At 48.5% G+C, this 24,679-nt stretch overlaps 1 protein-coding gene across 36 annotated transcripts in view, besides 2 other annotated features; it reads left to right on the forward strand.

The window, feature by feature from the left end:
* LDLRAD4 (low density lipoprotein receptor class A domain containing 4) overlaps nucleotides 1-24,679 on the forward strand; it is a 435,073-nt gene that overhangs the window by 25,300 nt on the left and 385,094 nt on the right. The window contains exon 1 of one of the 36 annotated variants that reach the window (XM_024451252.2): nucleotides 364-23,813. The exons of the other annotated variants lie outside the window; for them this stretch is intronic. The gene's annotated coding sequence lies outside the window, so the exon portion shown is untranslated. Of the gene's footprint in view, nucleotides 1-363; nucleotides 23,814-24,679 lie in introns of those variants that run through there. 36 annotated transcript variants of the gene reach the window in all.
* Nucleotides 19,701-20,639: an enhancer, noted in NCBI's record as "H3K27ac-H3K4me1 hESC enhancer chr18:13262681-13263619 (GRCh37/hg19 assembly coordinates)". NCBI's record gives its function as "activates a minimal SCP1, AML or CMV promoter by ChIP-STARR-seq in naive H9 embryonic stem cells {active_cell/tissue: H9 hESC(naive)}" and the evidence as "EXISTENCE:reporter gene assay evidence [ECO:0000049][PMID:30033119]".
* Nucleotides 22,930-23,492: an enhancer, noted in NCBI's record as "H3K4me1 hESC enhancer chr18:13265910-13266472 (GRCh37/hg19 assembly coordinates)". NCBI's record gives its function as "activates a minimal SCP1, AML or CMV promoter by ChIP-STARR-seq in primed H9 embryonic stem cells {active_cell/tissue: H9 hESC(primed)}" and the evidence as "EXISTENCE:reporter gene assay evidence [ECO:0000049][PMID:30033119]".

Below are 24,679 nucleotides of genomic sequence, written 5' to 3' on the forward strand. Positions count from 1 at the left end.
CTGCTCTGCGCCTGGCGCCTGCTCTGCCCCTGTGCCTTCATTTCCACATCTCAGTTCTGCAGCAGCTGAGTGTCTTGGGGCTGTTTTGTATGCTGGAAGCACTTAAAGGCTTTATGTCTGACTCCAGCTGATCTTAGTTTTCCAGTCAGGCCATGTTTTCTTTGGGAGTGTTTTACAGCTGGACTTTCCAAGGGAGTAGGCCACCTTTCCATGGGCAGCATGGTGTGGGAGGCAGGGCCCCTTGGAGGTGAGAGCCAAGGAGCTGAGTTGTCCCCGGCCTCTTCCACTTCCAGCTCTTAGCCTTGGGCACGTCACTAACTTCTGTAGAGTGGACACTGGAATATCTCTCAACCTATGAGGAGGATTAATGAGACAAAATGTGGGAACAGCATTTGAAACTTTATATCAGCATCCACCCATCCACCCACCCACCTATCCATCCATCTAGCCACCTGTACACCCACCCAGCCACCCACTCGTTCATCTGTCCTTCCATCCGTGCACCTACCCACCCGTTCCTCTATCCATTCACCCACCCATCCATCATCCATCCATCCACTCATTCATCTGTCCATCCATCCATGCACCTACCCACCCATTCCTCTATCCATCCACCCACCCATCCATCCACCATCCAGCCACCCACGCACCCGCACATTCATCCATCGATTTACCCATCCATCCGTCTACCCATCCATCTATCATCTCCCCAGCCACCACCTACCCATCCACCCATCCACCCACCCAGCGACCCACCCATGCACCCGCACATCCATCCATCAATTTACCCATCCATCCGTCTACCCATCCATCTATCATCTCCCCAGCTACCACCTACCCATCCACCCATCCATCTATCCACCATGTACTCACTCACCCACCCACACATCCACCCGCCCACCCACTCATTCATCTCTCCATCCATCCATGCACCTATGCACCCATTTCTCTATCCATCCACCCACCCACCCATCCATCCATTCATCCATCCATCCACCCACCCACCCACCCACTCATGCACCCACACATCCATCTATCCATTTACCCATCCATCCATATACCCATCCACCCATTCCTCCATCCATCCATCATCTCCCCAACCACCATCTACCCATCCATCCATTCATCTATCCACCATGAACTCACCCACCCACCCACCCACCCATTCTTTCCTCTATCCATCCATTCATCCACTCACCAATCCACCATCCATTCATCCATCCATCCACCTACCCATCCATTAATCCATCTACCTCCTGTCCACTCACCCACTCATTCTTCTATCCATCCATCTACCCACCCATCCATCTATTCATCCATTCATGCACCCATTCATCCACCCATCCAACCCACGAATCCACCTACCCACCCATCCATTCATCCACCCATCTGTCCTAACATCCACCCACTGATCTACTCATTCATCTGCACATCCATTCATCCTGCCCATCCTCCACCATCAACCTTCCTATTGATCTGTCAGTTATTAAAGTTAATTGCCAAACATAAATATAAAATGTTAGGGTAAAGGCCCCAAGTTTTCTCTGTTACCTACCTACGTCTCTCTTTTTGTTATTATAATTACGAATGAATCCTTGAAATCTTTAAACATCTTTATTGACCCATGTGGGTTGTATTGTGGTTAATATTGTAGTCATTTACGTTTACACCTGCAAGTGTTGCCATCAAAAGCTTAGGCCTCTCCTTCCCTCTTCCCCCAAGACACACCCTGTCACAGCACATCCATATCCACACACACAGCAGGTCTTACTTCTGAATGTTCTGTGTGGAATTTGAGCTTTTGGCAGAGCTTGTGGATTGACCTCATGGTTGAGATTTGCTGTCTTCATGGACAGGTGGGAGTGTTCATTTTAAAGTTAAATTTAATAAATATTTAGAAAGCATGCATCATATGCCTCATTAGCAATTTTGTTAGGTACTCTGGGAGAAACAAACAAGCAAGAGCGCAGAATCATCTGGTCCGTCTGTGGCCCCTGCAATTCCGTGAGGCACTGCTTCCTCTGCACATGAGGTTCCTGGGGAGCATGTCATCTGCCTTATTATGGTCGACTGCACCCTCTGTTTGGTGGGGGGCATGGGTTCCCCTAAGTGGGAGCTGTGCCTGAGTCAGCGTCATGAGGGAAAATGTGGAGAAACCTCAGGGGCAACCATTCCATGTGGAGCTCGTGGGCAGGAGTCATCCTGAGTCTGCAGGACCCATGTGTACCTGGGCTGTACGGATGCATGTGTGACTTCATCCCAGCCCCTCTATTCTTGAGAGCTTATTCAGTATCAGAAATAATGGGGAGACGAGGTGAGACAGGCACGTGAGGGCAGCCGTGTGTAGTCTTGTGTTGGATTCAGGTGATATCAATTTTGGAGGCCTGCCTGAAGTTTTTGCTGAGTTTATTCCAGCAGGAAATACTACCACACCTAATTAATCTTCATACAGGACTTTGCCAATTGCTATGATATGGGGCATTGGCATTATTAGCATCATCACTTTTCATATGTGAAACCGAGGATCGGGTAGATTAAGTGCTGTGCCCAGGTCAGCCCAAGTCAGAAGGCTCAGGGCTGGCTCTCAGGGCCACATCTTTGATCCTGGCTCTCTGTCCGTCTCACTATGGCCCATGTATCCCTAAGACATGTGGAAAGCAGGGTTTCTCCAGTGGAGGGAACCAGAGCAGACAGCATGATCATTTCTGCTTCAAGGGGGCAGAGGCAATTGGAGTTTCTCACATCACCCAGCTCAGAATGGCAGCTGGTGGCCTGCAGGTGAGGGGCAGGGCCCTTGCAGCTCTGCCACCTGGTGTGCATGCTGGCTGTTCTCCAGCCTCTCTTCCTCTTGATTTTCTTGTCTCGGGTTGTTGACTTTTGCTTTTGGCCTGGTGGAGACTAAGGGGAACAGTGTGCAAAGTGCTGAGCCCGTGTCTTGCACAGAGCATCACTCGGGGCTCAGAGCACTGCAGCTATTATTACTCCTTTCTAAAAAGCCAGTATCTGCCTGGAATTACAAGGCAGGCACTGACAGATGTATAAGTAGATGCTCAAGAGCAAATTAAAAATGCATTGTTAAAAATGGATTCAATGTGTGAACAAAGATTGGCATGAAGGTTGGGTCCCTGTATTTTTAGAGGCTAATTAAAGTGTGCGAACAACGATAAATTCAGATAACCCGTATTGCTTGAAGTCACCACAAAGCATTCACTGAAGAGCTAATTGCAGCCTCCAGAGGTTTGGGTGGTCTGCGGCCATCACTGACTTCAGGCTCTGCCTGCTTTTGCCCATGCTGAGACTGCACTGTGCCCTTGGGGTCCCTGTGCAGCCCTGGGGATCTCGCTGCCCTGGCGCCTGGTGATGTGCATTCTGGTGCATTTCTGCAGTCCTGAGTTTGGGATAGACAGTAACACCGTCGTGTTACCACGTGCCACTTGTCTAAATCACTCACAGAAATCTGTGGTCAGGTTTCTATAAAGTGCTTGATTGGTGATGAGGAGATGGGGAGTGATTTATGGCATGCTGGCCCTCCAGCTATTGATGGGTGTACACACACCGAGGTCAGTGCCATATAAAATGCAGATACCACAGCCCCTAAGGGGTGGCTGGCCAGCTGTCATGGCTGCAGTCGGTATTGGAGTGGGCAGGAGTCTGTAAGGAAATGTGATCCATGGGCTTAGAATCCCCTGTTTTGTCAGTGTCTTGGAAAATTGGCCTCCAGAGATCAACTGTGGAGTGCGCCATGTCAGAGGCTGTCTTCTCCTGTTGCGACATTTAGCAGACCAGGTCTGCACACCTGATTTTCCATTAGTCACACTAGAAAGGAGAACATTTGTGCTTCATAACCTCAGGGTTAGACAAACAGCCCTGCAGGTAGATCATGATCAATAACAGGAGATCTTTGTAAACTAGGTTAATTTTGTTCCTGAAAATCTGCAATGTTTTTTTATCTACAAGGGTTTTTTTTTTTTTTTAAATTTCCTAATAGAACATGAGTATTCACTGCACACAGACACAGTGATGGTGGGCTAAGGACAAAAAAGACCTTGGGTAAACTCTAGACCTCTACCTGTCATGATTAGAAACATATCCGTTCTCACCAGATAATCTTTTAAATTCCAACCAGGCTTGCTTTAGGTGCCAGGAGGTAGTAAGAATTACAGGTTCTGTTTTTAGGGCAACGGCAGGATTTTAAACTCTGTATGCCTCCCCTTTCTGTCACTAAGCCACCACTTTTTTACAAAAAGCTTTGTTTTGAAATAATTGTAGATTTTCAGAAGACTTACGAAGATTGTGCAGAGTTCCTATATGCCCTGCTTCCTGTAAAGGCATTAACATCATATGTAATCATGGCACGCGTATCACAACTAAGAAATTAACGTTGGTAGAAAACTGCTAACGAAAACCATAGACTTGACTTGAATTTCACTAGTTGTTCTACCAACTAATGTCCTTCTTCTGTTCCCAGGTGCAGTCCAGGATGCCATGTTGCATCTAACCACTGCTTTTTATTCTTTGTTCTTTAAATAATTTTATTTTTAACTTTTTATTACGGTAAAAATTTCAAACTCTGTAGTAGAGAGCATGCTAGTAGGTCCAGTTGACGGCCGCCCATTTTCAGCCATGTTCCGCTTGTCGTGTGAATGAAGGTGGTCTTAGTGAGGGGCCCAGCCCTGGCAGCACCCTCCACGCACGCACAGGGTCTGCAAAGTTTGTGCCTGGCGGTGTGCTTGTCTTGCATCTCTAGTCACCGTGTTCTTGCTGATGGCGCTCCAGGGTTGCTACTGTAAGCGCCTGTGCTTAAGAACTGGATCTGAGCTTTCCCCGATTTCTGCCACAGTTTTCATAGGCCACGGGATTTGCTGGAGAACCCGCTCACTCTGGAGCCTTTAGTCATGATGTCCAGTTGAGATTTATTGTTCAGTGTGACCCAGTGGTTCAGAAAACCTGTCCAACTGCACACAGCGCCGCCCCCCGCCTTTTTTTTTTTTTTTTTAAAGACAGAGTCTCCCTCTCTTGCCCAGGCTGGAGTACAATGGCACGATCTTGGCTCACTGCAACCTCCACCTCCCAGGATCAAGCGATTCTACTGCCTCAGCCTCCTGAGTAGCTGGGATTACAGGCGTGTGCCACCATGCCTGGCTAATTTTGGTATTTTTTTAGTACATACACTGTTTCTCCATGTTGGTCAGGCTGTTCTCAAACTCCTGACCTCGTGATCCGCCTGCCTCGGCCTCCCAAAGTGCTGGGACTACAGGCGCGAGCCACCGCGCCCGGCCATAGCCCCACTTTTTTGAGCTGTGATTGTAAGAGCTGGACTAAAACAAAATGTCTGACAGAAGAAAAACTACCTTATTTCCACATCATACTTCCCCTCGGTGCCCAGGGTCCAGTGTCACCTCTGGATGCCCAGTGTCCTCCTTTGCCCTGGCAGAGCTTTCTGTTTCTGTGCCTGTGCAGGTTATTGGCTGGTGTGGGCACAGCGACCACCCCATAAGATGTGATGTAGCAATTGTGGAATGAACCACTGGCCTGCTAGTAGGTTTGTAAGTTTAACTGCTAAGCTACTTTACACCAAGATGTTAATAGCTCTTAGTGTTTTTAAGTGTTAACTGCTTGTGGTTATTTACATTTTTGAAGTATTTTATTTTAAAAATGGACACATAATAATTACATATTTATGGGGTACATAGTGATGTTTTGATACATATGTGTCGTGATCAGATCAGGGTAATTAGCATCTCCATCATCTCAAACATTTGTCATTTCTTTGTGCTGGGAACATTCAGTATCCTCCTAGCTAATTGAAATTGTATATTATGTTACTGTTACTTATAATCATCATACAGTGGTATAGAACACTAGAACTCCTATCTAGCTGTAATTTTGCATACCTTAACAACTCTCTCCCTATCCCCCTTTCCCTACAACCCTTCCCAACTTCTAGTATTCCCTTTTCTACTTTTTACTTCTATGAGGTCAACTTTTTACAGCATCCACACATGAGTGAGAACCTGTGGTGTTTAACTTTCTGTTCCTGGCTTATTTCACCTAACATAATGCCCTCTAGTTCCCTCTATGTTGCTGCAAATGATGGCTTTTCATTTTGTATGGCTGATTGGTACGCCATGGTGTATATGTTCCACATTTTGTCTCTCTGCTCCTCTGTTGTGGATCACCTAGGTTGATTCTGTATCTTGGTTATTGTGAATAGTGCTGCAGTAAATGTGGAGGTGCAGGTGTCTCTTCCATATCCTGATTTCCTTTCCTTTGGGTAAATGCCGAGTAGCAGGACTGCTGGATCATATGGGAGTTCTAGTTGTAGTTTTCAGAGGAACTTCTATACTGTTCTGTAGTGACTGTACCAGCTTACATTCCCACCAACAGTGTGTAACAGTTCCCTTTCTCTGCATCCACACCAACATTTATTTCTTGTCTTTTTGATAGTGGCCATGCTAACTGGGGTGAGATGGTACCTCATTGTGGTTTTGATTTGTATTTCCCTGATAATTAGTGATGTTGCACATTTTTCATATATTAATATTTGTTAATCATTTGTATGTTTCCTTTTGAGAAATGTCCGCACTCAAATTTTCTCATTTTAAAATTAGATCTTTTTTTTTTTTGCTGTTGAAATGTTTGAGTTCCTTGTATATTTTGTATATTAATCCTTCATCAGATGCATTGTCTGCAGGTATGTCCTCTGATTCTGTAGGTCATGTTTTTACTCTGTTGATTGCTTCCCTTGCTGTGCAGAAGCTTTTAGGTCGATATAATCCCATTTGATTATTTTTGCTTTTGTTGCCCATGCTTTTGGAGTCTTACTTATAAATTTTTTCCCTGGACCAATGTCTTGAAGCATTTCCCTGTGTTTTCTTCTAATGGTTTTAGAGTTTAGTGTCTTACATTTAGGTCTTTGATGCATTTTGAGTTGATTTTTGTATACGGTGACAGGTAGGGGTCTAGTTTTATTTTTCTGCATATGCATATAGTTTTCCCAGCATTATTTATTTATTTTACGTTCAGGGGTACATGTGCAGGAAGTGCTGGTTTGTTACATAGGTAAACGTGCCTAGCACTATTTATCGAAGAGAATGTCCTTAATGAGTGTTCTTGGCCTCTTTGTCAGAAATCAGTTGGCTTGTGTATATGTGGATTAATGTCTGTTCTCTCTATTCTGTTCCATTGATCTATGTGTCTGTTTTTATGCCAGTATCATGCTGTTTTGGTTATTATAGCTTTATAGTATATTTTGAGGTCTGGTAGTGTGATACCTCCAATTTTGTTCTTTTTGCTCAGGATTGCTTTGGCTATTTTATAATTCCATATGAAACTTTGGCTTTTTTTTTCCTATTTCTGTGAAGAATGTCATTGGTATTTTGGTGCTTAATAGAAGGAAATAAGTAAAGATAAGAGCAGAAATACACAAAATTGAGACAAAAAACAAAGATCAATGAAACAAAAAGTTGGATTTTGGAAGAAATAACAGTATTAACAAACCATTAACTAGACTAAGAAAAAAAGAGAAAAATACCCAAATAAATAAAATCAGAAGTGAAAAAGTGAAACATCACAATGGATACCAGAGAAATATAAAGGATCATTAGAGAATATTATGAATAACTACATGCCACTAAAGTAAAAAACCTAGAGGAAATGGCTGAATTCCTGGACACATGCAGCCTACCAAGATTGAGCCAAGAAGAAAAAGAAAACCTGGGCAGACTAACAAGAAATGAAGTTGAATCAGTAATAAAAGTCTGTCACAGCAGAAAGGCCTAGGACTGGATGGCTTCATTGCTGAATTCTACCAAACCTTTAAAGAAGAATTCATACTAGTTCTTCTCAAACTATTCCAAATAAATTGTATCAGAGATAATTCTTCCTGACTTATTCTACAAGGCCAGCATAACCCTGACACAAAAAGCAAATAAGAACACAGCAAATAAAACCACAGGTCAATATTCTTGATGAATATAGATGCAAAAATCCTACACAAAATAATAGCAAACCAAATCCAGCAACACATCAAAAAGCTAGTACATGATGATTGAATGGGATTCATCCCAGGGATGCAAAGATGGTTCAGTATACATAAATCAAGAAATGTGATTAAATCACATCAGCAGAATGAAGGACAAAAACCACATGAACATCTCAATAGATGCAGAAAAAGCATTTGATAACCTTTAGCACCCATTCATGATAAAAACTCCCAATAAACTAGGTATAGAAGGAATGTACCTCAACACAATAAGGGCCATAAATGACAAAACCACAGCTGACATCGTACTAAATGGGGAAAAGCTGAATACTTTTCCTTTAAGAACTGGAACAAGAAAAGAATGCCCATTCTCACCACTCCTATTCAACACGTACTGGAAGTCATAGCCAGAGCAGTCAGGCAAGAGAAAGAAAGGACATCCAAATTTGAAAGGAGGAAGTCAGATTATCCCTGTTTGCAAATGACATGATCTTATATAGAGAAAAACCTGAAGACTCTACCAAAAAGCTCTTAGAACTGGTAAATGAATTCAGTAAAGTTGCAGGATACAAAATCACCATACAAAAATCAATATTGTTTCTATAGACAAACAACTAGGTGAAAAAGAAATCAAGATGACAATTCCATTTGCAGTAGCTACAAAAAATTTAAAATACCTAGGGATAAACTTTACCAAGGAGGCCAAAGACCTCTACAAGGAAAACTACAAAGCATCGATGAAAAGAAATTGAAGAGGACTGACAAACAAATGGAAAGTACTTGGAAGAAGTACTGTATGGTTCAGATGACCATACTGCCCAAAGAAATCTACAGCTTCAATGAAGCCTCTGTTTGCATTTTAAGGAGATGATATTCTTGAAGAAAAATTGTTTATCCCAAATGCAGAGTTCCTGACTTGTGGCCCATTATTGAGGAGGCTATGGTGCTTTTCTCCTTGGTCTTCAAAACAAGTTAGTCATGGATATGGAAACTCAACCCTCATGACTAAAAGAAGCAAACTGAAAAGAATGTCATTTATATGGTTCTGTAGATATATGATTGTTTGGAGGGGACTTGGGTCCTCCCAGGAGAAACAGTCTGCATTGGAATGTCTCCTTGTATTAGAATATATCTCTTGCCAGCTTCATTGGTTTTTGTTTGTTTGTTTGTTTTTTTGAGATGGAGTTTTGCTCTTGTTGCCCAGGCTGGAGTGCAATGGTGCAATCTCGGCTCACTGCAACCTCCACCTCCTGGGTTCAAGCAATTCTCCTGCCTCAGCCTCTGGATGGAGTAGCTGGGATTACAGGCGCCCATCACCACACCCAGCTAATTTTTGTATTTTTAGTAGAGATGGGGTTTCATCATGTTGGTCAGGCTGGTCTCGAACTCCTGAGCTCAGGTGATCCACCCACCTCGTCCTCCCAAAGTGCTGGGATTACAGGCGTGAGCAACTGTGCCCGGCCTTCCACAGTTATTCACTGTGCACACTTGGCCAGGTGTACCGCTAGGTGCGGGGACCCAGGGTGGGCCACAGCCCCATGTCTGACCAGATGACTGACCTCAGGCAGCCTTTGATGCACAAATGATGAACTTCCAATTGCTTAATGTTATTACAATTACAGACTGATGACGAGGTTGGTGCTGCAGCTGCACCCTGGGAACTCGGTGGTGCCCCCCACCATACTGGGCACGGTGGGACTGCCGCAGATGTGATGGATGACAAGGGTTCCTGCCAGTGAGAGGAATGAAGATGCTCTTTGCTTCTGTGAGGTCAAGGCCTCATTTCATGTGACATGCAGAACCAGCCTCACTTGCCGTCGGCCCTCCACATCCACAGCTGTTTCTGCGCAGGGATGTCTGGCTCTGAGCCCTTCTGCGGAGCAGTGTTGCGCTGTTCCTAGAATAGTGTCCTTGTAGTCTCGTTAGGCTTTGCTTCTCTTTGTGTCTTGTTGTTTTGCTGGTTTTCCAGACCACTAGCTGTACCACGAGGCTTCTGTGAGCAGATGGCATGAGACAGGTGAGTGCTTGCATGGAAACCGGGGCACTGGGGGTCCAGGGTGCAGGCCTGCTTCACTCTGGGCACCCTGTAACTGCTCCTGCTCCCAAGTGCCAGTGATATTCTGCAGATACAAATGTGTGATCACATTGCCTGGGCCCCAGTCTCCGAGGAGCCTGGTGGTGGTGGTGGTGGGCATTTTCAGCCTGGGTGTGCTGTCAGGACCCGAGAAGGTGACAGGAGAAGGTGGGAGGTGAGGAGGAGTGTCAGACGTGGGGTGGGGGGTGTGAGGCTGGAGACCAGGACCCTCGCCCGGAGCCTTGCTGTGATCGGCTGTGGTGGGGAAGCTGGGCGCCACTGCTCTCAGCATGAATGTGCTCAGGCTGTTGACTGAAGGGTGTTGCTCACTCTTTTTTAAGAAGCATGATATACATCTAGGAAGAGTAATATTTTAAAAGTCTTTTTCCCTTTTCCACACCTCCGCTTGAAGGAACTCCAAAGCCTGCAGGGTAAATGAGCAGTGTTAGGATGGCCAAGAGCTCTCAGGCTGATTTAGTACTTGTGGGCAGGGCCCCTTTTCGGATTGATTATGACACATGGTGCTAATGGGGTTGATTTCTAGTGGGAGGTACAGTATGTGTTACCCTTCGAGTTCTGCAAATGAAGTGGGGGGAGGAAGGAATGCATTCAAAGAAAAGAGAGTGGAATTCGGAATAATTTTTTTTGATATTCTCTTAAAGGCACAATGATCAGAACCTGCCATGTTTTATTTCTTTTCATTAGAATTAAGCTTAGGTTCTGGGTATCGGAGCATCTCTGGCACAGGTTGTATTCACCCTTTGGCCCTCAGATGTCACTGAACAGGAAGCTGCCGGGTGAGTTTTTGATAACAAATCTCATGGCAGGATGGTGGCGCCTCCCTCGCCTGCTCACCTGCCCTCCAGGCTGGTACTCACTGAGTGCCCAGTGTGTGCCCAGCCCTAGAGCCGAGGCCGCAGAAGGCCCTGTGCTTGGGGGCTTGCTGCGATACGGGGCATCCCAGGAATCCAGGACTCAGATGAGTCAATGCAGACCTGCTGCTGGGAGATAGTGCTGGAGGGGAGGAGAGTGCTGGCAGAGAAGCATAAGCCCCGGCGAGATTCCACTGAGGGGAAGCCCAGGGATTTCTGGAGGCAGGTGATGGAGCTGAGGGCTGAACACGGACGGGCGGTGTCGCGCCGTGAAGGCAGAAGAGCCTGTCTGGGTGGAGGGCACAGCCCGAGGCCCAGGGGAGGCAGGGAGCTTTTCGGGTCCAGAGCTGATGGGGTGAGGAGTGAGGGGCCCCAGGTGGACTCAGGGTTTTCTTTTCTGAGGCTGAGTGGGATCTTATAGGCCTTGGGGAGCCATTGGAGTGTTTTCAGCAGCAGTGACAGGGTCTGTTTGCACTGGGCCACGGTCTGGAGACTGGGCAGTTTGGGGGTTGGAGGAGTTTCCCTGGCCCAGCTGAGCAGGGCTGGCGCGGACAGAGAGAATCCCGCCTCTTCAAGGTCGCTCAGCTGACCATGGGCATAGCTGGACCTAGAGTGCCAGCGACCCTCCATGCTTCTGCCAGGAAGTCCAGCGGCATCTTTCCATTCATGGTGGTTACGGAATTGGCCGAGTCCTTACTCTGACCTACAGTGAGCCTCAAGAAACAAAAATGTCCACCTGTGTTCAACAAATTAAACATGTAAAAGAACATACTGGGCGTGGTGGCCCACACCTGTCATCCCAGAGCTTTGGGAGGCTGAGGCAGGAGGATCATTTGAGCCCAAGAGTTTGAGACTAGACTGGGAAACGTAGGGAAACTGTTGTCTTTACAAAAGCCCCCAAAATTAGCTGGGCGTAGTGGCACTTGCCTGTGGTCCCAGCAACTTAGGAGCGTGAGGCATGAGAATCGCTTGAGCCCAGGAGGCAGAGGTGGCAGTGAGCTGAGATGGTTCCACTACACCCCAGCCTGGGCAACAGAACGGGACCCTGTCTCAAAAAAAGTTAAATAAAAGAAAAACCCAATTCTTCTTGTTTAATAGGGCAGCAAGACTAAAACAGTAATCATCAGATGAAATGATAGTAGAAAATATGAAATATGAACAAATGATTGAACCCGTGAGGGCTCGAGACTAAGGGGCAGAGACACAGCCAGGGTGTCTGGGTTCAGCAGATACTTCCAGAGCCCTGCTGTGTGCTGGGCACAGGGGCTGCAGACAGATGCCCGCCCCCCCCAGCCCCGGGATGCTCCACACCCAGCAGGTGCTGTTGGATACACAGTGGGAGCTCCTCCTGGCCTAGGGTCTGTGCTGGGAGAGGCAGAGGCAGACAATGGAAAGGCTCCACTCTCAACAAAGAGTGGGGTTTGATGTACTGGGGTCCGAGAAGGTAGCATTAGAGCAGGGAGTGACCATATGGGTACTGGGGAAGATTCTAGGCTGAGGCAACTCTGTGCAAAGGCTGTGGGTGAGCGGTTGCCTGGAGTGGTCAAGGCCACATGGCTGGAGAGGAGCAGGGGGTGCAGAGGGCACATGTGCATGCATGTGCACATACAGGCATGTGTGAACATATGTGTGGGTATGTGTGATTTCCCATAGGGCCCAGGGTCCAGGTGGGATGGGAGCCCTTCCAGGTTTGGAGCAGAGCAGTGTCTGGGTGTAGGTTTCCAGAGGGTCAGGGTCTCTGGGGAATAGATCACGGTGGAGGCCCAAGGGAGAGGCAGGGTGCCATAGGGGCTGTTGCAGCGTTGAGGCCCTAGGGACGGCTCCCCAGGCCAGGGCTGTGGGGTGCTTGGAGTGGAGGAGGAACCAGAGGATGCACTGAGGTGGAGAGCTGGCCGAGGGAGATGTGGTGCGTCTGAATTTCTGCTGAGCACTGGAATTCCATTTTATCAGGATGAGGATGGCTGGGGAAGGGATGGCTTTGATCATTGCTTTTATTGTGAGGAGACAATTTGTCATCAGCATTGGTGTTATTTTGGCCTGACTTTTATCACTCTTGTTCATCATGATCTTGTTTCTGCCTAACTTTCGTGCTTGCTACCCTCTTAGAAAATGATGTATCACTTATTTAGGATATTATGTGTTAATTGTTGTCCAGAAATCAAACTAAGTTTCTTTCCAAGAAAGACGTGATGTAAAGCACTTTGATTCCCTGGGAGAACAGGTGCTGTGTGTGCACAAGGTTTTGCTGCCTGATTATTCTAGGGAAAATGAGACAGTGATTATATATGTTGGCAGGACTCAGATCACAAACTGCCCTGGATGTAGGGGGAGGCTTGGGTGAATCTAAAAGCATCCTCCTGCCATTTGAGGTGAGTCCTCTCCATGTTGGGAGTAGAAATGGCTCTTCTTTTAAAATAGGGTCCCTTTCTTGGCTCTGTCTCTGAGTCACCCTCCTGGGGTCACAGATCAGCTGCATGGGCACAGGTTAGGAATGTGGTCTCAGCCTCAGCCTTGGACCCCATCCCCCCATCAAAATCTGCCTTTTAACAAGATCCAAGGGGATTCTTGTGCACCTTAAAGTTTGGGAAATACTGAGTTAGGACAGTTTTAAAACATTCTGAGGACTTCTTGCTTCGAGATCAGTATTGTATTAGGGCAGCTGGGTTTAAATCCCAGGAATGCCAGCAGGTGTGTAGGACTGGTGTGAACAGTGCTGAGTACTTGGGTCAGGTTACAGATCGACCCCACTAGCATCCAGCAATCTGGCACCCCATGGATGTTTCCATAGAGAGCCCTTTGAAAACGAGAGCCCTGGTAAGCTGGTGTGTGTGCTGGCATGGAAGAGAGAGCCTCTCTTTCCTAAGGAAGGCGTCAAAAGCAGGGGTTAGGTGAATGGAGGGAGCCCAGGCACGTCAGTGCCCAGTGTGGCAGGTGTGTGTGCCGGGGAAGGAAACCTGTGTTGTTGGAACGAAGTTGCCATTTGGCGGAATTTGGTGCACTTACTTGGAAAATATTGCCCAAAGAACTCAGAACTGTCTGTTTTCTTTTCCTTAAACATTTCTCTTGTCAGAGTGATGAGAAAATTGCCTATGTGGGAACTTGAGAAGTGCAAATTTGTTAATACTTCCTTTGACAATGGTTTGTATTCAGAGCTGTTTATGAGCTGTCACAAATCATTTCCAGTTAAAACGTTTCTGCCATGGAGTCATGCCGCGCTGGAGGGTCCGGCGGGACAGACGTGCACAGCCTCGCGGCCCTGGCTCAGAAAGGCCTGAACCCATGTGCCGTGGGTCTGGTTTTTAAGCTGGTGAATTGAATCGTGGAGAATAAAAATGACCTGGTTTCTGTGGAAACCTCTGCTTTGAAAATGTTCTTCCTTTTAATGATCTTCAGAAGCCCAGTGTCAAGGCCTGAGTGTGAGATTTCGCCATTCTTTTGATGGCTGGGACAGAGCAGAATTCAGTGCCAGTCCTTTCGTTCTGTAATGATGATGTTTGTGAGACTTGGGGATGACACTTTTGGCTCATCCCTGGTAGGACGTGGACATGCGGTTGCTTTTCCATGAGCAGGGATGGGTTTCCCTGACCCACTGCCCTGCCCCATCCATGCTGTGCTCATGGGCAGGCGTGTGTGGGGTGGCAGCCTGGGCTTCAGAGTCCGGCCTGCAGCCTGGATGTGAGACACTGAGTGATCATATAGGGGATGATTTTATAGGTCTGGATGCTTTATAGCAGTGGCTCTCACCTGGGGGTGACTTTGTTCCCCAGAGGCCATTTGACAATGTCTGGAGACATTTTTGGTTGTCACAAGTGGGAGGTGGGAGGTGCTCCTAGCATCTAGTGGGGAGAGACCAGGGATGCTGTTAGACTGCCCACAGTCCACGGGACAGCCTCATCACAAGGGTTTGTCCAACCCAATGTGTCTGTCGTGCCCAGGTTGAGAAACCTGCTTTAACAGTAGTGGTAGTTTGGATAGATGGATAATGGTAAAGATGAGAAAAGGATACAATGGGGCTGGGTGCAGTGGCTTAGGCCTGTAATGCCAGGCTGAGGCAGAAGGATCGCTTGAGCCGAGGAATTGGAGGCTGTGATCATACCACTGCACTTCAGCCTGGGCAACAGAGCAAAACCCTATCTTAAAAGAAAGAAAGAAAGAAAAAAGCATACAATGGCCAGATAGTGGTTGAAAACATGTTAGATCTCCAATATCTGGTTCCATTTCTTTTTGTTTTTCATTTATTTACTTAGTATTCAGAAAAGAAATTTCACTGTCCAAAATCCATTTTTTCCCAACCAAGACAGTTGAAAATTCCTAAATTCTAAATAATCAGACACCTTCAGTAGGTACGCTTACTTTTCTTCCATGCTTCCGTAGTATTTTGCTTAACAGAGAATGTTAGGGTTTTCTTTTTGAAGCTCCTAGTTTGTCTTAATGAGTTAATTCTACGAAATCCTTTTTTTTTTTCTTTTGTTAGCATTAACATGGAATCTGCTAATGAATGGCCACTAGGGACGATGGTGAAAACACTTGAAATGAGATGCCTCTATTTGAATATTTTATGGTCATGGAATTGGCTATTTATTTTATTTTTGCTTTTATGATTTCAAAATTCAGATTTCTTTGAGCAAATGTTTAGAGATGACAAGAGGGAAACTCAGGGATGGAATAATCTATTGAGTGTGAACCAAAGATTACATTCTTTTTCAGAATTGTCCTTCCTTCCTTTTTACTGGGTCCCATAAAAGGTTTTATGATCTGATTGTACCTTATTGATATTTGCCAATTGATAAATTTCTTGTTCATTAATTCAGTATTTAGGTCAATGATGTTTCTTCCTGGCTTAGTATGAAGTTTAGCCTTTCATGATACATATTTCCTCTTTCTTTAGCTAGATTACCAATAATGTTCAAATGGGGCAGGGGAAGGATTACACCAGAAAAACTAGCCTTTTACCTCTGTGAAAAGGTGCCTCCCAGAAGCACCATCTAAAAGCAGGTCATGATTTTAATCCAGAATGGCCAAGTGCTGCTGCTGTGTACAACTTCCGACCAGCATGATGCTGGACAGCAGGTCTCTAGGTGGGTTCATTGAGTATTTAGGTCAATGATCTTGTTGTGCTCCATTCGGGATGACTGAGTATTCCTGAAACAAATGCTATTTCTGGCTGCTGCCATTCCCGCAGAGCACTTGTGCAAGTTCATAAGACTTCCTAAGTGAAAGGGGAATTTGCATAGTTTGTGGATTCCTTCCTTCCTTCGTCCTCCTCTCCCCTCCCCTCTCCTCCTCTCCCTCCTTCCTGCTCTATTGCCCAGGCTGGAGTGCAGTAGCGTGATCATAGCTCACTGCAGCCTCATACTCCACAAGTGTATCCTCCCGCCTTAGTCTCCTGAGTCACTGGGACTACAGACACACACCACCATGCCTGGCTAATTTTTTTATTTTTTGGTAAAGACAGGGTCTCACTGTGTTGTCCAGGCTGGTCTCAAACTCCTGGGCTGAAATGATTCTCTTGCCTCAGCCTCTGAAAGTGCTGGGATTATAGGCGTGAGCTGCTGAACCCAGCCCTCCTAATTTCTGATTGATTTTTGAGTAAGATGAGTTTTAGTGCTAAAACATCCCACGTCGGTAGCTCTTAGAGAAGTACTTAGTGAAAGAAACCACATGCCTTCAAATGCTCATATATATGTATGTAAAGCATACATTGGTATGTGGTTTTGGTTCATTTTCTTCCACTTGTTTCTTTCTCCTGTTTTCTGATTCTCCCCTATAATCCATCCCTCCCTCCCTCCCTCCCTCCATTTGTGCTGCTCACAAACTCAAGGGGCATCACTTACATGGGATAATTTGCCTTTACAGCCACCCACGGCTGCTTTGAGAAAGGAAGTGTTCCCATCACCTGTTTTCCTTTGCTTGGCTGTACCTGTAATGACTGAGCCCCACTGGGTGCGCAGGGCAAGACCAGCCTTCGTGTCTCTTGGCCCAATGGAGGCCCCAGGAGGGGAACGTGTGGTTTGGAGAAGCCGCTTCTTGCACCACTGCTCCTGTAACTGACCTTGGGCTGTGTGGTCTGTCCAGCCTCGGTTCCCTGTCTTTAAGATGCATGTAACAGGACCTCTCGGATTTCTTGGGAGGCATTGGGTGGAATATAGCAGGTAGATTTTGTAGGATAGTAGGTGCTAAGTTCAGGTCAGTTACTTCCCCTTAAATAGAGAAGACTCTAAGTGACATTTGGATAATCTCCTGAGAGCACACTGTAACTTCTATTGGAGGTCATTGCCTTGACCTCCTTATGCCCAGGGGCAGCTGAGTGCCCACTTGCCAAGGTGTGAGCAATGCGCCCTGTTCTGCTGTGAGCCTTCTTGGGACCCTGCATAGAGCCTGTTCCCTTCCACTCACTGCTGGCTGGTGTCTGTGGAACAGCCTTCCCTGGCCTTTTGGCGGCCCTGTCAGGGTCTGGAAATCTGGCTTTGTCTCAGAAATCTGGCTGCGGAAGATTTTCCTTTGTGTACTGTCATAAATGCCTTAAATGTATTAGGGTGCTTTGCAAATCTTTCTCTAATCCGTTTTGACAAATAGCTGAGTAGTATTGGTTTTATGTGAACTTGGCAAAATTTGCTCCCGTTCAGGGTGACTGGGGCATGTGACAATTAGTGGGAGGTGGCAGGATTCTTGAGTGTAGCATTTCTCTGACTCAGCCGACTATTTCCTTTTTCCTGTTGCTTTATTATTTATTGTTGCTATTCTTTCTGCCACCCTCTCCCTCCCTCCTTACAGATGTCTGTCTTTCCAGGACTGTCCTTGTATTTTTTTATCTTCTCTCGCATAGACATCTATGGCAGGTCCATCCTTGAATACCCACTGTTCCTTCCGGTGACTACCATGGTGTGGCAGCTCTAAGGGCAGGGAGCTCATCTCTGCTGAATGCAGCCCATTTTGTGGATGCCATGGCACCTAGAAACCAACTGGATGCAGTTGAATGTGCCTCCCTATGGCCTCCCTGGGCTGGGATTCAGAGCAGGGCTCACTTTTCTTCCATTTGTTGGGACTAATGTGTCTGAAGACACTGCCGGTGCCCCACCTGGTTCCCTCTTTTCCAGGTCAGGCAGCCCAGCTTGCTTTCCCCATCCCTCCTCTAATGCGTTCACAGCCCCCTCATTCCTCTCCTAGGTGATGGTGCTGTGGGCTTTCAGAGCTCAGCTACGATGGACTGTGTCTTAGCACAACAGGCGTGAGGAACTGATGAGGGCATTGGGAACGGTGAGGTGCTGGGGCACATTAGTCCTGGCTCCAGGGAATAGCAGAACTCTGCCCCTAACATTCCATTTACTGGTGGAAAAATAGACCAGCGGGTTCTTGCTGTTCTACTTGCTAGATGATAGATTTTCTTCATCTTGTTTACAAGAAAGAATGTGGTTTCTTAGCCAAGGACTTGATTTCTGGTTCCTGGTGAACAGTTTTCAGAGCACTCTGAGCCTCTTCATTTGTAGAAAGGGAACTTTGAGAAAATGCCCAGCACAGTGCCTGCCTGGGACAGAGCGATTTCAGCAAATGTTTACAGAAATCCCAGTTTAGTTCAAGTTGTGAGCTGAGAATCCTTGCTGTTGGTTTTAGGTTTCCAGCCTCAGGCCTTCAGAACCTTTGGGGGTTGTATCCCTAACCTCAGCCGTACCCTAGAGGCCAGGTCAGCAGAGTGAGTGATAAGCGCACTCGTTCCATCAACCGTGCGGTTAGAAACGTAGAGGTTGTCATTAGAAAGTGCAGTCTTTCTATCCTACTTTTGAATTTCAGGGAGGAGCTTCAGGATTTGTAAAGACTTCATCTATATTGAAGACTGCCCAAGAGTTATGGCTTACCCGGCTGCAGGCAGCATGCCACCTGTATGCAGTACCTGTGCTGTGTCTAAGGAGGAAGGGCGACTTGGTGGTGGGGGCGGGGGAGAGGCAGGACTGCGAGTGCCACCAGAGCTTGAGAGAGCAAAGAGGAACAGAGGAGATGGGGGTGGAGCTGTGCAGAGCAGGGCACATGTGCGGCTCTGTGTGTAGAAAATGAGTCCCGTGTGGCTCTGTGTGTGGAAACTGAGTCCCGTGGGGCTCTGTGCGTGGGGGCTGAGTCCCGTGTGGCTCTGTGCATGGAAACTGAGTCCCGTGCGGCTCTGTGCGTGGAAACTGAGTCCCGTGTGGCTCTGTGTGTGGAAACTGAGTCCCGTGCAGCTCTGTGCGTGGAAACTGAGTCCCGTGCGGCTCTGTGCGTGGGGGCTGAGTCCCGTGTGGCCCTGTGCATGGAAACTGAGTCCCGTGTGGCTCTGTGTGCCTGGGGGATGAGTCCTGTGTGGCTCTGTGTGTGTGGAAACTGAGTCCCGTGTGGCCCTGTGCGTGGAAACTGAGTCCCGTGTGGCTCTGTGTGTGTGGAAACTGAGTCCCGTGCGGCTCTGTGCGTGGGGGCTGAGTCCCGTGCGGCCCTGTGCGTGGAAACTGAGTCCCGTGTGGCTCTGTGCGTGGGGGCTGAGTCCCGTGTGGCCCTGTGCGTGGAAACTGAGTCCCGTGCGGCTCTGTGCGTGGGGGCTGAGTCCCGTGCGGCCCTGTGCGTGGAAACTGAGTCCCGTGCGGCCCTGTGCGTGGAAACTGAGTCCCGTGCGGCTCTGTGCGTGGAAACTGAGTCCCGTGCGGCTCCGTGCGTTGGGGCTGAGTCCCGTGCGGCCCTGTGCGTGGAAACTGAGTCCCGTGCGGCTCCGTGCGTTGGGGCTGAGTCCCGTGCGGCCCTGTGCGTGGAAACTGAGTCCCGTGCGGCCCTGTGTGTGGAAACTGAGTCCCGTGCGGCTCCGTGCGTTGGGGCTGAGTCCCGTGCGGCCCTGTGCGTGGGGGCTGAGTCCCGTGCGGCTCTGTGCGTGGAAACTGAGTCCCGTGCGGCTCCGTGCGTTGGGGCTGAGTCCCGTGCGGCTCCGTGCGTTGGGGCTGAGTCCCGTGCGGCCCTGTGCGTGGGGGCTGAGTCCCGTGCGGCCCTGTGCGTGGGGGCTGAGTCCCGTGCGGCCCTGTGCGTGGGGGCTGAGTCCCGTGCGGCTCTGTTTGTGGGGGTTGAGTCCCGTGCGGCTCCGTGCGTGGGGGCTGAGTCCCGTGCGGCTCTGTGTGCGTGGGGGCCGAGTCCCGTGCGGCTCTGTGTGCGTGGGGGCCGAGTCCCACGCTGCTCTGTTTGCGTGGAAACTGAGTCCTGTGCGGCTCTGTGCGTGGGGGCTGAGTCCCGTGTGGCTCTGTGTGCGTGGGGGCTGAGTCCCTTGTGGCTCCGTGCGTGGAAACTGAGTCCCGTGTGGCTCTGTGCGTGGGGGCTGAGTCCCGTGCGGCTCTGCGTGGAAACCGAATCCCATGCGGCTCTGTGTGTGGGGGCTGAGGCTGAGTCCCATGCGGCTCTGTGTGTGGAAACTGAGTCCCCTGTGGCTCTGTGTGTGGAGACTGCATCCTGTGCGACTCTATGTGTGGGGCTGAGTCCTGTGTGCCAGTCTTCCCATTGCCATCTCAGGGATCCTCAGGGCAGCCTGGTGAGGACAGTGAGGGCACGGGATTGCAGCTAACACACAGAGCTGTGCAGTGAGGCAGGCAGGAGCTTGCTTGGGAGAGAGGCAGGGGAGTCGAGGGGCACCTGGCACCTTATCTGGGCCAGCTGGCCTGGGTTCGAGTCCCAGCTCTGCCCATTGGCAGCCATGTGACCTTGGATGCTTCACTCAACCCTCCTGTGCCCGAATTTCTCCATCGATAAAAGGAAGATGTTGGTAATCGTATTACCCACCTCATGGGTTCTTATAAAGATGGAAAGAATAAGAATCAATCATGTTCCGAGCTTGAGACACAGCTGGCTGATTTTAAGTGTATGTTATGGTTAAAGTGAGGGAGTCGAGCTTGGACTGTGGACCACCTGACTGCATTGCTGTCCCTCTAAAGGTCATGATTGGGTGGTAACTGAACTTCAGCTTCTCCTGGATTCATAATCTTATTTCATTTCATAAAGTACAATCATACAGTCAACATGACTTTAGAATATTGGAGGAAACTTTCTATGTTCCTCAAGTACCATTTAATTAAAGAAAAAAAAAAGAATTTTGGATGAAACTAATATAACCCTGGGGTGGGCAAGTCTGTTGGGGGCATGGGAGGGGCTATGATGGAGCAGGGCAGGACACGACCCGGCCCTGTCCCCTCTGGTGGATTGGGCCCCACCTGTCCCTTTCCAGGCCCAGAGTTGAGCAGTTGGTTGAGTGGGTGGGTGGGTACCGTTTGAAAGAGCGAGTGGGGGCTGGTTGCGGGATGGACCTGAGTGGCTAGGATGGGTCCTTTGAGGAGGTGGCCCTGCCAGGCGGCTGCTTTACGTCAACGGCCAGTGAAGCTGGGGCTGCAGACCTGGAGGGCTTCCCAGCCCCGCCCCCGAGTTATCCTCAGAGCAGGCCTTGCTGCTCTTTCCAAAGGGTGTCTGCAGACCGTTAGACAGTTGCTTGGCCAATGTTCAACAGTGTGCAGGAAAATGCTTAGAAAGCCAGGAACGAATGGTTTCTGAAGTATTCACCATCATTCAATTCCACAGTGTCCCTTTATGAGTTTAGCTAATGGGGAGTTGACTTCTCTGTGTAGATATTCTGAGCCCGATTGCTTAGGTGATGGCATTCTTGGCAGGGAAGCCGCTAGCCTGTTTTTCGGAGTAGATGTTGTCCTGTGCTTCCTTCCCATGTGGGACTGCCATGCAGGTTGAAGACGGTTTTGTGCTTTTCTCTGCAAATGGCTGTTCTTTGGACTGTGTGAGGTGATTCTGCGTAGCCTCTCCCTTCTTCCAGGATTCTGAATCTGGATTGATTTTGTTGATGAAGCTTTCTGAGATGCATTGCTGAAAAGAGTAGTTGAAGAATGTGTCTGGAGAAAGCATATGGGTGCATTTCACAACTGTGCTGTTTCATAAAAGCGTTTCAAGTACAGTCTTCCCGAACCTGGAGGATTCGCAACTGGCCTATAAACAGACTCCAGTATTTCAAGGTTGAGGAAGACGTTGGCAAATTGATCTGTAAAATTATATAAGAGCTCTCTCTTTTCTTTTACCTGAGTTAAAGCTGAGTTGCCCAAGCCAGAACCTGGTGCTGTTCTGACCCCCTCCTGGCTCCCTGATCCATCCACTGTGTCGCCAAGGCCTGTGATTCTACCTTCTAAGTGTTTTCCACATGGCTCCTTTCCTCCCGCTGTGGTCACTGCCTTCAATTCTCAACATTTCTTGCCTGGACTTTTGCAACAGCCTCTGAACAGACTGCCCTGCCTCCAGCCTCTGCCGTCTCTCCCCTCCTCATATCCTTCCCTGCGCCTTCCAAACTCCTGGTCTAGGACCTCGTTCTGAGAACCGCCTTACCACCTAGTGGCAGGGCTGACCTGTCACTGCGTAGCTTTGAAGGTCAACGCCAAACTTACCTGTGTGGCCTGGACGGGGTCTCTGTCTCCAGCCCCCATTTCACTCAGTTCCTCCGGGGACACTCGAAGCCCTCCCCCTTCCCACTGTGCTGCCTGGAGCATGGCTTTCTCTGTCCTGCAGCACAAATGTCAGCTGCCCAGGTGAGCCCTTTTCTGGGCTCATCGCAATTTGTCAAAACGTGTGACAGGGATGAATAGCTCCATGCACCCAGGAGCAAGGCGTGCCACATCTCTTCATTTTTCTTGAGAAATAAATCTCCTTTGATCCCTGACTCACTGAGAAAGATGGGGTGGCTGATATCAGTCATCTGGGGACTGTCCTCCCCAGGCACGTTTCCGAGGACTTGTCACTCAGTCACACCTGGCCCCACTCCCCAGGGCTTCGTTGGCCATGGGTCCTGCTTGCCTGGTGCTGAGATCTTCTTCAAGGTCTGCTGAAGTCATCTCCTGTTGGGGTGGCCCTGGGACTCCACTCTGCTGCACACAGCTCAGGCCTCCAGGGGTCTTCCTCAGCCCCCTCCTCACTACTCCTGAGGTCTTTGCCCTCCCCTGGGTGGGTCCCTCTTCTCCTCCCACCCCTGAGCACTCAGCCTCCTCCTCACCCCCACGTGGATCTGCTCGATCTAGGTTTAGAGCTCTGGTTTTAAGCATCGATATGTTTAAGCATTATCTGGGGAGCTTGTTAAAAATACGGATTCCTGGACTCCACCCCAAGAGATTCTGACTCAGAAGCTTAGATGATGCCTGGCAGTGAACGTGTGTTTTAGCAAGAATGGCGGGCTCCTTGACACGGTTGTTCTGTAGTTTGGACAGTGAGTAGCACTCGCCCAGACCTTAAAAACAAAGGCTTTTTCGGGGCTTGTTTTTAGGGCTCCCCCGACTTCTTCCTGTGGACCCAGGAACACAGAAGATCATTTTGCTACAGAGTCCGCATAAGCCCTCTGCCCTCCAGCCCTGCATTCACAGCTAGCCTGGGAGCTCCTCGAGGGCAGGGCGTGGCTTCATTCCTCCTGCACAACTCCTGGTACCTCGCACTGGGTCCGTGGCCAGATGTGGGCAGGAGCAGTCTCGGGGACAACAGACACAGCCCGCTGAGGAAGGCACCCAACCCTGGGCTTGGCTTTCCTTTCCTTTCTGGCATGGGGCTCAGGTGTCCAGAGGCGGGAGGATTCCGAGGGTCTCTGGTGGCTGCCTTCTCCAGATTTGGGCTTGGACTGGGCACAGCTGGGAATCAGTTATGTTTTGTTTTGTTTTGAATTGGCATAGTGACCGTCTTAGGCAGAAGGCAGGCTGCCGCAGGGCCTCCACGCTCAGGCGCTGCCTGGCGATGGCTTCTCCGTGGAGGAGAGGGAACTGCTCTGAAGCAAGCCCAGCACCGCAGTCCTGGCCAGACCCGTGGGCAGATCCCTGGAGTCCTGTCCCCACACTACCCTTGGAGCTGCCTTCCGAGTGTAAGTTACAGTTTCAGTCACAGCCTCAGAGGTGGCAAGTCACTGACTAGGAAGAGAGTTGAAATGAACAGAATTCTGAGTAAGAGTAATACTAAGAGTTACAATTTTATGTTCCAGTGAGGTAGAAAATCTTTTACGTCGACTGAAGGCTAGATCTCCTTTCATGTGGAATCTCTTTGTGAAAGAACAGCATTTTCTGAGTTCACGCCTAGGTCTTGGTTAGAATCAACAGGGTAATGGTGGCAAGGGAGAGGTTTGTGAAAATATTCTCAGACTGCACTTGTGAATTATGAATGCGACTGCTAACATTGCTTTAGCAGTTCAGTGACACCTATCTTTGCAAAATGTACTTTCACTTGTAAGGGCCAAATAATTCTAATAGAAACATTTTTTGGTATGTAATTATGTAGATGTAGAGTGATACACTTTTTTTTTGCTGTGCACTTAAAAATTATCAAAGTAATGTTTGGAACGTCTGGAAACTCTACTTCTGATCACTGGTCAGTTTCACGCGTGTGTGTGTCTGTGTTGTATTGTTTTTAGTGTGTGCACACAGGCCTGCAGCCTTAGCAGTTACTGGAAGAGTGGTCTATCTCATTTATTTTAAAACCAGCATCACCCGTTCCACCTGTCACATGTGGTGGTGGAATTTGAGAAGAACGGGGACAGTTTGATCAGGATAGTGAAGCTGCCCAGGGGCATAGCCTGTGAATGCTAATTCACTTTCTGTAAACAACCTCTGCAGTGTTTGGTGTTTGCATGTATGAGATCAGCCGTCAGTTTTCGCTCAGATCCAGCTCCTGCTGCTGTCTAACTGAGATGAGCAAGCCTCACTTCAGACGTCGTGTGTAACCCAGCTACTTCAT

The sequence above is a fragment of the Homo sapiens genome, chromosome 18 (genome assembly GCF_000001405.40).
Source record: "Homo sapiens chromosome 18, GRCh38.p14 Primary Assembly".
Lineage (NCBI taxonomy): Eukaryota > Metazoa > Chordata > Mammalia > Primates > Hominidae > Homo > Homo sapiens.